At 47.0% G+C, this 11618-nt stretch overlaps 3 annotated features.

The window, feature by feature from the left end:
- Window positions 638–777: an enhancer, noted in NCBI's record as "active region_12162". NCBI's record gives its function as "activates an Ori minimal core promoter by ATAC-STARR-seq in GM12878 lymphoblastoid cells {active_cell/tissue: GM12878}" and the evidence as "EXISTENCE:reporter gene assay evidence [ECO:0000049][PMID:35858748]".
- Window positions 8865–9454: an enhancer, noted in NCBI's record as "active region_12161". NCBI's record gives its function as "activates an Ori minimal core promoter by ATAC-STARR-seq in GM12878 lymphoblastoid cells {active_cell/tissue: GM12878}" and the evidence as "EXISTENCE:reporter gene assay evidence [ECO:0000049][PMID:35858748]".
- Window positions 9735–9854: an enhancer, noted in NCBI's record as "active region_12160". NCBI's record gives its function as "activates an Ori minimal core promoter by ATAC-STARR-seq in GM12878 lymphoblastoid cells {active_cell/tissue: GM12878}" and the evidence as "EXISTENCE:reporter gene assay evidence [ECO:0000049][PMID:35858748]".

The following is an 11618-nucleotide window of genomic DNA, read 5'->3' as shown; positions in this document are numbered from 1 at the left end:
ACTTGGTCCCAGGTCCCCTAAGGTCGTCATGGTTCTGTTTAAATAAATACTTCTAGTCTTGGGGAGCCCATCATGTCTTAAGATAGCTCATTCCTTCTTTAGTTCACTAAAGGTATTTCCTCTCACTGAACTAAAAATCTGTCTTCCTATAATTTCAGCCTCCCTCTTACACAACTTGAAGTCAATTAGAGTACATGTCATCACCTTCCAAGTAAAAGATCTTCAGGTATTTCAAGACATGTGCTCCTTGAGATCCTTTCAGAAGACAATTTCCGTTTTCTTTTTTAGAATTTTTAATTTTTTTAATGTACAGAAAAATTTGGAACGTAGATAGTTTACATTCTCATTGTCCTGTCGTCTCCCCTCCAATGTGTCTCTCCTGGGATAGAAGGACTGTCTCTTTTCAAACATGGTTTTCTCTAATCTGGTAAAGTCGTGTTTCCTCCCCAGTGTATTGCACTTGAGACACAACATCTCCAGATCATGGAAACCATCTGCCTAAAATACAGGGGTGGTCCCACGATGACCTCAAGGTCCTGTACAGCACAGAAGTTTTGTAACTGTACTACGGATTCAAGCTCCATGAAATGAGTGTTGACGAATGTTTTCAGATGTAGCCCAACGGGGAGCACACAGGTTCAGTTCACTGATCTAGTACTTCTCAAACTCGGTCATTTGCATGCCACCATCACAATTTTTACCATTTCTGGGTACAACTTGTGCTATTATTACTTAGCAGCTTTCTTTGAATCAGCTTCTTCCACTTGAATGATTTATTTTAAAGGGAAACTGTATATCAGCATAAATGTTAAAACCATTGTCTTTTGTCAAAAAAGAAAATAACCTTAACGCAAATATTTTAGTAGTTCTCTTTAGGCCTAAATACGTACTATTTAAAAGAGTATTATTTAAGGCCAAGTCTCAGCACTTTGGGAGGCCAAGGCAGGAGGATCGCTTGTGTTCAGAAGTTCAAGACCAGCCTGGGCAACATAGCAAGACCCTGTCTCTATTTTTTAAATAAAGTTTTTTTTTTTCAAAGAACATTATTTAAATGGTCTGTGTACTACCCAAAATCATCCCAAGGATCCCACATGGTGGTCTGGATAACACGCTTAGGAGAAGACAGCACTAATGGGAAGGTCTATCTTCTGCTACCTGCAGTTGCAGGAGATTTGTCTTTTTAGAAACTATCCCCGGGTCAACAGCGGCTTATAACTCAAGGGCAAATTAGTGAAAGTTAATTCCATGATCACCTAATAATAATAAAAGCCAACATTTGTTGAGCACTTACTGTATGCTCATGCACTTTTTATACTTTTTATTTTCTAATCCCTGAAGATAATATTAGAGTAGATCACTTTACCAATGAAGTTTATATTTGTGATCTTGGGCTTGAGTTGATCAATCAACTCTTACAAACCATTTTTCCTGGAGAGAGGAAAATTAGCCTCAGGCTGTTGTACGAGATATTAAATGACATCAAGATTGAACATCTGTGCTAGGGATTTCATCATTGTGGATCAATAATTCAAAAGACTCAAGACAAAAGAATCCACTCGGAGATCAGTGTTCTTGCAATGGGAGATGTATATGGAAAAACTATTCCTTGTGGAATCCTTTCCTTCTTCCCTCCAAAGCTTTCCATACCACCAAAATGAAAAAGTACACACACACACACAAACACACAGACTTAAATCATTTGTAAGCCTACAATAATAAAAAATACTGTGCTATATAGAGAACTACCCTCATGTCTGATGTATGCTGTGTTATGCGTGCATTTTACCCCTGTTGTGGTTTCCTGTCAATCTGTGAGCAGTGGGGAACCTTTTAAAAGACATCCCTGGTTGGGTGTCAAAAATTTCAGGAAGTACCAAATCAGATGGATTTTCTGCAGAATAACTCTCTGACCTTTAACCACCTCTTCCTGATGTGTGCCGTGGATAGATCTTCCTCCTCCTCAAAAAACACACCACGTATTCTGGGACAATAGCTTTAAAATACCTCCTTGAAGCCATCAAATGTCAGTCAGAGTCTAGGTGGCTGTGGTTGTGGTTCTTAGGTGGGTGGCTCTCAGATTGAGCACAGAATCTCCTAGGGAAGCTGTCTGAACCCCACCCAAGACTACTGAATTAGAGGCTACTAAGGAGAAGCCTAGCAGACTAGCAAAGTTTGGAGAATCACTGATTTGGTTTAATCTCTTCATTTTACCAAAGGGGAAACTGAGGCCCCAAAAAAGAGAAGTGAATGACTCATCTAAGATCCAATTGTCTCAGTGCCAGGGCTGGAATTGTTCTTTACAGCTTCTTCCGGGGAGAGCAGAGCCTCAGGATATTTTTAAAAACATGTTCAAGCCTAGTTGGACTGAACTTTGCCAAGAGTTGGACGTTCTTCAGTGTGCGACACATTCTAATGTTATACTTTTTAATGACATATTATGAATATCATCTCTGTTTTAAAGATGGAGAAACTGAGGTTTAGAAAAGTTAAATAACTTGTCCAAGATCACACAGTTAATTTATGATGGAGACAGGATTCCCACTCAGGTCTATCCGACTCCAGTTCTGTGAGTGATAGGTACCCCATCTATGAGATAAAAACTCAAACTGACAGCCAAGTGACCTTTCCCCCTTCTGCAAATCTTTAAAAGCACCGGTGCTTTTCTCATAACCACTCCAGTTCTTAAAATGATTTTTTTAAGAGAGCGAAGGGCTTAGGAGCAAATGGCTTCTCTTAATAGAGCAGTAATAAAGGCTGGTATCCTAATAGTCGTTTTCCAGATATTTGTGCAGATGGAAACATTCACAATGATGACATTCCAACTTGTAAATACTAGCTCTGTGGGTTTCGGAGGGTTTGTTTTGTTTTGTTCTGTTTGAGATAGTTTCGTTCTGTTGCCCAGGCTGGAGTGCAATGGAGTGATCTCAGCTCACTGCAACCTCCGCCTCCTGGGTTCAAGCAATTCTCCTAACTCAGCCTCCCGAGTAGCTGGGACTACAGCACACGTCATCATGCACAGCTAATTCTTGTATTTTTGGTAGAGACGGGATTTTGCCATGATGGCCAGGCTGGTCTCCAACTCCTGGCCTCAAGTGATCCGCCCTCCTCGGCCTCCCAAAGTGCTTGGATTACAGGCGTAAGCCACTCTGCCTGGCCTAGCTTTGTGTTTTTAAATCATTTTGTGGGTGTTTTCAGCCAGGCACTCCTTAAAAACAGTGTTCACAGCATACCTAATAAACTGTAGTTATTACCCAAAGTATGTGGTTCAACAACAAAAGGTGGGCGAGTGAAAGAATTGATAAATGATCCGACTGTGATGTTATCTGTTCCAAACACTTTGCAACAGAGTTGAACACATCAACAGCAATATATGTGATGCACCAAAGCAGGGGGCTGATGCATGTGGAGCCCCTGGCAACCTGTGCGTGTCAGAAGGGTGCGCTGCCTTGCTGCTGGCTTCAGCCAGGTAATGCCCAAAGTAGGGTCTGTGTGGGTCTGGTCTCTTACCAGAATCGTAGCAAGATTAATTTTTCATTATCACCACCCACTTCGAAAGTAAATTTCATGTTTCCCACTGAGTTTCCCAAGGGAATTGGATAGGTCTACATAAACCAGGGGAAAATGGACAGTTTTAGACACACTTGAAAAAAAATGTGTGTCAGGATAGACACACTTGAAAAAAAATGGATGGGATTCAGGCCCAAAATATGGCACCTTGAAAATAGTGGATGTTTTAAGCTGAACCAATTTCTGAACTTCCCTTGAAGCAGGTCATAAGAACCTCAGGTGACAGGTGCCCTCCCTATACTCAGGGGAAGAGCGCATTTTTATCTGCGAAGAAGAGAAACTGGGCAAACAGGCCTTGCTGAGCTTCCCCCCGCTTTCCCACCCTCAGCTCATCCCCTCTGTCCTATCATATTCTTCCATGACTTTCCACTCTTCATCAAACCCCGTATAAAAACACTCAGGTTTAAACATTTCTTTGGGTCTTCATTTCCTTACAAAAGCCCCTGTATCACATAAAACGTGTATTAAATAAATATATATGCTTCTCTCTTTCTAGCCTGACTTTTGTTACAGAGATCCTGCCAAGAACCTGGAAAGACAGAATTAAAAAATGTGTCCTCCCCAACAAAATCAAAGCGATTTTTTTTTTCTCTGTCCTAGATTGTTCTAGGTCAATGCAACTGGAGCATCCTGCTGTCAGGGTAGTTGCAGCCAGAACACATTTGGAGTTTGACAGCCTGAAACAACCACAATTCATTTATACATGATTTGCTTTCTCAGGATGAAGAAACAGAGACTTGTCTGACACGGTCACTCCCTCTTGGCCAATAAGCATCAGTTTCCTGACACAAGCGTTTCCTGGGGGAGGGTTAAGGAGATCGGTTGTTTTCTAACCCGCTCCTGAGTCTGATGGTGTCCAGGTGACGTGATATTTTCCGGGCGATGGTGTCCGGGTGACATGATATCTTCCACCTGGGACAGCAACTGCTCAATCCATCCGGCACCTGCCTCCTGAGCTTTTCCTCCAGCGCCCTCTACAGGAGCTTGTTAAGCACTGGATGCCGAGAACTAGGAGAACTCTGTCCCCGCTTACCTGGGACTGAGGAAGGACATTCAGTGATAAAACCAGGCAAGTCCCGGGAAAACGGAAACAAGCTGATCACCCTAATAAATAAAAAAGGGGGCCGGACGCGGTAGTTCACGCCTGTAATCCCAGCACTTTGGGAGGCCAAGGCGGGCGGATCACGAGGTCAGGAGTTCAAGACCAGCCTGACCAAGATGGTGAAACCCCGTCTCTACTAAAACTACAAAAATCAGCCAGATGCGGTGGCAGGTGCCTGTAATCTCAGCTACTCGGGAGGCTGAGGCAGGAGAATTGCTTGAACCTGGGCGGCAGAGGGTGCAGTGAGCCGAGATTACGCCACTGCACTCCAGCCTGGGAGGCAGAGTGAGACTCCATCTCAAAAAAAAAAAAATAGACCTACGCTGGAGGGTCTGGTGGGGACCCTGCGCTATTAAACCTTCATAAATGTATGGTTGAAGTTGGGGGATGGGGAAGGTATCTTAGTCAAAGTCCCCAAGGCCTGTGAAGCAGCACAGTGTCCGATTCTGCAGCCCAAGCTGGGCAAGAGCCTGGTGACTTACAGGATTCCTCGTGAGTTGTCAATCACTCTTAACTTTCATTCACTCAACAAACAACTGCTGAGCACTTTTTATATGCCAGGAACCCTCCTTGGCACCAGTAATAAAAGATGCAGTATGGCATGGTCCCTGCTAGAGGAGGTGTCTACACAAGTGGCAAGTGTCCAGTGGGCAAGTGCTCCATGAATGAAAGTCCTTGACAGATGTGACCTGGAAATGCCCTTACACTGCTGACAGGTAGGAGCGCCTTTCCGCAGGCACCTGAACACAGCCGGAGCCATTTGGCAGGGGTCGGGCCAAGGGCCGGGCTGAGGGGCAGGACGTGAAGATGAGTTGGGTCTAACCCTGTTCCACGGCTCCACCTCCTCTCTGCCGGGGCCCCAGGGCAGAGTCCAGAAAAGACAAGCAAACACATTGGTTTGAAAGGTAAAAGAAATAATTAAATTTTCAGCTGCAGGAAGTTGGCTGAGTAAATTATGATCCTAAAGGTATTTTGTGCCTTAACGATGATGAGAAAGATTATGTAGCCACATGGGACCGTGCAAACTAGGTTTCTTCAAAAAGTAAATGTATATTAGGATCATGCAATTAAACACGCTATCAGATGAAGACTGGTTGGGAAAACAAACTGGATCCGGTGTGTTCAGTGTTAAGATTATGGGCGATCTCTTATTCTTCTCTTTTCAAAACCGGGTTTACTACAATTAAATCATTTTTATAATAAGCAAGGATAAATGTCCTAAATGTTATAGAAGTCATATGTACAAAATTCTACTGAAAAAAATAGTTTTTTAAAAAAATTACTGCCATAAATTAGACCTGTTACAAAAGGAATAGAGAACAGCCCTGAATTATCTGCTACTAGGTACTCATAAAGAAATTTTTTTTTTGAGAGTCTCTGTTGCCCAGGCTTGAGTGCAGTGGCGTGATCTCGGCTCCCTGAACCTCCACCTCCCGGGTTCAAGCAATTCTCCTGCCTCATTCTCCCTAGTAACTGGGATTACACGCATGTCCCACCATACCCAGCTAATTTTTGTATTTTTTAGTAGAGAGAGTGTTTTGCCATGTTGGCCAGGCTGGTCTCGAACTCCTGGCCTCAAGTGATCCACCCGTCTCAGCCTCCGAAAGTGCTGGGATTACAGGCGTGAGCCACCACACCTGGCGCAAAAAAAAAAAAAAAAAAAAAGTTGCACGAGGGAATTAATTTTAATTCTCCTTTCAACTCATAGGGCGTAATTATTTTGTCCATCTTCCCACCCTACTGCTGCCAGAGGTTGTGTCAGAACATGAGGCCAGAAGGGAATCCACCCAAATCGTGTCGGATTAGCTTAGCTGCCTCCAGGCAGGCTCGGAAATGTAATCAGAGGCTGGTGTCCTTCCAAGAGACGATCTTTGAAGGATAACAAACCCAGGCTGCCATCAAAATGAGGAGATGGAGACTGATTCAACAGCAGTGCCAGGCAAGCAGCAGCGTCTCACAGCACAGGTTGTGCACGACGGCTAAGGAGGGAAAGCGGCTGCAGGGCACGTTCTCAGCTGCAGAGGGCCCAGCTCTCAGGATCAGAGACAGGTCCAGGGCTACCTCACAGCACCTCACACCACGGGCCCCTGCGACCTCCACTCCTTGATATTTCACAAAAGGCTTGAGATTGTGCAAGTGTTAAAGACAGGACACTTCCTGTTTGTCCAGTTTCAAACCTCTACAGATGTCAGTAAAATGACAGCACATTAAATTCCCCACCCAGGGCCCAGCCCAGCACTCAAGGCTTCTCCCCAGGGATGACTGGGCCTTGATTGAGGAGAAAGAAGTAGGTATTAACTTGTAGGATATTTGAGTCGTTGTTAAATCAACTCTGTCCATTTGGAAACATGGTTCTTGGGTCAGAGGTGGCTGCTCTTGGAGGTGGTCCCATCCCTTCACTCTTTATAGCTCACCCTACTCTGTACCCCCAGAAAGAAGGAGCTGGAATACATCTGTGTGGAATTTCTTCTGGCCTCACCCTGAAAACCAACCCTCTCCCAAACTGGTAGACTGGGTAGATTTCTACACTGCCAGAAATTAACAAGATTTCTACCCCCTTTCTCCTGCCTAAACCAGCAAACTGGTCTGTCGTTCCCAAGCGCCCGGCTAGGTGCCCCCTGAGCCCACAGTCCTGATCCTCATGAGACTTCAGCTCTTCCAGATTCCTGGGAGAAATCTGCTATGGACCCTCCTTCCAGCTCTCTCCCCGGCCTCTTCCTGGAAAGCAAACAGCCACTTCTTCAGAAAATAAGATGGTAGACAGAGGCCATCCTCTGAGATCCAATGATAAATCTTGTCCTTTTGCTCATGCAGTACTTACTGATGGCTTAATGAAGAGCCAAGTGATGGGGGAAACTCAGAGGTGAAGGAGACCTGGGTTCAGCCCCAAGGAGTCAGAACCTTGGAGACAGAACAAAGAAATGAACCAAAACCCTCTGGCAGTTGTCATATGCATGGCCCCCTGAACCAGGGGAGCTCAGAAAGGGAAGACAGGCACTCCTAAGGGAAGGCCTCATGGAAGCACAGCTTCTGAGCAGTTGGGAGAGGGCAGCGGAAGTGGAGAGAAGGGGATTGCATGAGGGAGTGAAGGCTCTATGGGGAAAGTCCAGGGCAGAGATGGGAAGGAGCAGAGACTAGCCAGAAGGACAGGAGGGGCTGGCCAGTGCAGGCTGGGAGAGGCTCAGGGCTCTGATCCCCAACCCAGACTGAATCTAGGATCAACTCACCATACTTGTCTGAGAGGCATAAGAATGGGCCTCGGAGTGCATGAGGGGGAGAGGGGCCCTGTGTACCCAGGTCCTACAGTGGCTCATTTTCAGCCCTGCTGGCATGCCAAATGGCCCTGCGCTTGATCTCTGCCAAACAAAGTGAAGACTGCCCCTTCTCTCCTGACATCCCTGATCCCCAGCTTCTCTTCCAGTCCCAGTTTCCCAATCCCCAGCCAAAACTCCCAGGAGGCAGGAGAGGACCACCTAATCTCCCTTCCCAGCAAGTCCCCTTTCTGTTCTCAGTTCAACTGAGCCACACTACCGCCTTTCCCAAAGGGCGATGGGAACAGGGACCTGAATTTCTGGGACCATCTCTATTTCAAATACACTGGCCCCCTGGCGCCTTGGACCTTCACACTTGCCCGGTTGTGTGTTGCTGATTTTTAGTGCAGAGCATGAGGTCACCAGAGCAGGGGGCCCTGGATTGGGAGACTATGCCCTGGGACTGGGCATCAGGGCTCCAACGTGCAATGGTGAGGCTGCCTTGGTCCTGTGTAGCGCTCCCTCTCCTCCCCTCCCCACCACGCTTCCATTCCATCCTCACACTGTGTTTGTGTCCATGTCTGTCTGCATCAGGAGAACAGCCACCTCTTGGAGAACGAGGGCTCCATCTCATTTGCCTCCAGATTCTCCCTGCTTCCCACTAGCCAGCTGCATGTTTTGAGTTGTCAATGAAATCTGTTAAACAACAAGAAAATTTGGAAACATGCCTACTGGACTCTGGGGAAGATACCCCTGTCTTGGCAGTAGATACTGCACTTGGGAGCTCTCAACTGGGAGGGCTTGGGCCTTGGAGTCGGAGATCTCCAATAGCCAGGAGAGGCTGGTGGTTGGGAGAGATCAGCAGATGCTGAATCGGTGCTCGGAAGTCCAGCTCCTCCGCCTTCCATGGCCGAAGGGCTCCACCCAGAGGACAGTCAGCTTAATCCCTGTTCACACAGACCTTTCTCCACCAGGTGTAGAGAAGGCTCTGCCCAGCTTTCATGAAGAAACTCAGAAACCCCCAGTGCCTCTCCAGAATGACTGTAAAATACCTCCTTCTGCCAGAAGAGCCAGTCCTCAGCCCTTCCCTCCAGCCCCAGGAATGCCCCCTGTCTGCAAATAAGAGTGGAATTGGGGCAGTTCAGAATTCTGCCTCCCACCTGGGGGAGCTCTGAGAACCAAATGAGGCAGGCTGTAGATGGGAACAAGCTACAAAAAAAAAAAAAAGTACACAGCACTGTTCAAACCCTAGGGGGTTTTTGGTTGTTGTCTACAAGGCAAGAGGTGCTTTAAGAAAATTCTCCCCTCCTGTTTTCACTTCCTCTTCTCTCTCTTAACCCTGGGAAGGGGAAAATCCTACAAAGATTAGCAGCTGATGTGTGAAAGAACCAAAACAACATTCTTCTAGTTGCATTTTAACAGTATCTTCTGGCAGCCACCACGGGACTGGGTTCTGATGTTCCCAGCTCAAGGCCAGAAAGAATCACTGGATCAGAATGAAGCGTGCAGTTGGAAGAGATCTTAAAGGCCCTCTAGTCCAATGCACCAACACGCTGTCCTGTTAAAGTGTGTCAAATTGTGCCCTGGAGCATAGCCGCCTCCAGGTGAAGGGTGAGCACTACCATATCGGCAGCCCTGTTGAGGACATTGGCTCTGGGTTATGCTAAACCACATGGGCCCACTATCCACTCACCTGCGGCAGGGGCCGTGTTGTATTTCAATGGCACAGAGAACCCAGGGATGCCCTCATCCTGCCCAGCCTTGTTGTGATCCTCCTCTCACAACAAGTTCCCGGGGGAGCCAGGCCAAGGAGCTCATGAGAGGAAATGGGAGTCAAAGTCCCGCTGCTGTCCCCAGCTGCACCCACACCAGGGATGTCACCGAGCTCTGAGAACAGTTCCTAGACTAACTGGTATTGATCGTAATGAATCTTTGTGCTACACATGGTGCAAGGCCCTGGGATGAGCAAAACTGGGAGCAACCAGTAAGAGAGAAGGACATGTTCAGAGGGTCTGGGAAGTGGGAAAATGAGGTGTGAAGAGTGTAGCTAAAAGGTGGCCCCAGCAGGCCTCTGAGGGAAACCAAGCCATGACACACACTGACACTCTGCTCCGGTGCTGCCCCACACCTCCCCAGCCTGACGAACGCCTGCCCTGCTGTCAGGATGCAGCCCAAATGTGCCTTCCTCTGCAAAGCCTTTCCCAGCATCTCCACTTCCAGAGAGAGACCGACGCGCCCCCGTCTGTGGCTTAGACAGTCTGTGTCTTCTACCAAAGAAGGTGTTTCCAGCCTGAGGCACCATGGTATCCCCCAGAGCCTGGCTCATGATGGGTATTAAAGAAATATTTTTAATTAATTAATTAATTTTTTAACAATAGGGTCTCACTCTGTCACCCAGGCTGGAGTGCAGTGGCACAATCATAGCTCACTGCAGCCTCCAAGTCTTGGGCTCAAGCGATCCTCCCACCTCAGCCTCCCAAGTAGCTAAGACTACAGGTACACTGCTCTGTCTGGATTTATTTTTTAATTTTTTGTAGAGACAAGGTCTCGCTATGTCACCCAGGCTAGTCTTGAACTCCTGACCTCAAGGGATCCTCCTGCCTCAGCCTCCCAAAGTGCTGGGACTACAGGTGTGAGCCACTGCACCTGTCCTGAAGAAATATGTGTTGGCTTTCATATTTGTGCCCCAAGTGACTAATACAATATATTACAGAATAGAAGCTGGGCAAATATTCCATGAATGAATGAATGAATGAATGAATGAATGAATACCAAATGGTTATAGGGCTCACATATGGCCAGCCCTAACGACAGGTAACCTATCTCCCACCATTTATGTTTCCCACAGAGCTTCACAGAGAAGCAACCACTTCACTGGAAAGACCAACTCAACTCAATAAATATTTACTAATATTTACAATAAATATTACAACTCATCCAATAAATATTTACTGAGCTCCTACAATGTATCAGGCTCTGTTCTAGGTGCTGGGGACACAACAATGTACAAAACACAAAGCCCTCTGCCTTAGGGAGTTCCCATCCAGTGGAGAAAGAGGCCGACTGTGCCGGTTGTGTCACGCACACTTGCTCTTTCCACTCACACCTTCCCCCTCTCCACCCCAGGACCCGCTTGTGATCCTGCCTCCTTCCAAGAGAACCTGCACCTTGATTTCCCCTTCCCAGCAAGTCCCTGTCTGTCCTCAGTTCAACTAAGCCACACTACTGCCTTTCCCAAAAGGCAATGGGAACAGGGACCTGAATTCCTGGTCTCATTGCCCTTTGGGCATCTCGATTTCAAATATGCTGGCCCCCTAGTGCCTTGGACCTTCACATTTGCCTGATCATGTGTTGCTGATTTTTAGTGCAGAGCATGTGGTCACCAGAGCCGAGGGCCCTGGACTGGGAGACTCTGCCCTGGACAGTGTCTTCCCGAGGGGTAAGGGATGAGTGAGTCGCGAAGGGTAACTGGAAGGGAGTAATGGGGTGATGGCAGTCATCAGTGGCAGATTCGAGGGAGGTGCTACTTTTGCTTCCTGGTCCTCAGATCTCACTCTGCATCCGCTGACAGCGTCTTCTGCCTTTGGGTGGAACTGGCCCCCCTGTTTTAATTAAACTGAATTAAATAGAATCAGCTTTCATAACTGGATGATGCAGAAATGTCCTGACAGTCACCCTCGCCCGGGGCACCTTGCCAG

Source organism: Homo sapiens, chromosome 17, assembly GCF_000001405.40.
Source record: "Homo sapiens chromosome 17, GRCh38.p14 Primary Assembly".
In the NCBI taxonomy this organism is placed as follows: domain Eukaryota; kingdom Metazoa; phylum Chordata; class Mammalia; order Primates; family Hominidae; genus Homo; species Homo sapiens.
The sequence above is the reverse complement of the archived record's forward strand: the minus strand, read 5'-3'. Positions and strand labels throughout refer to the sequence as shown.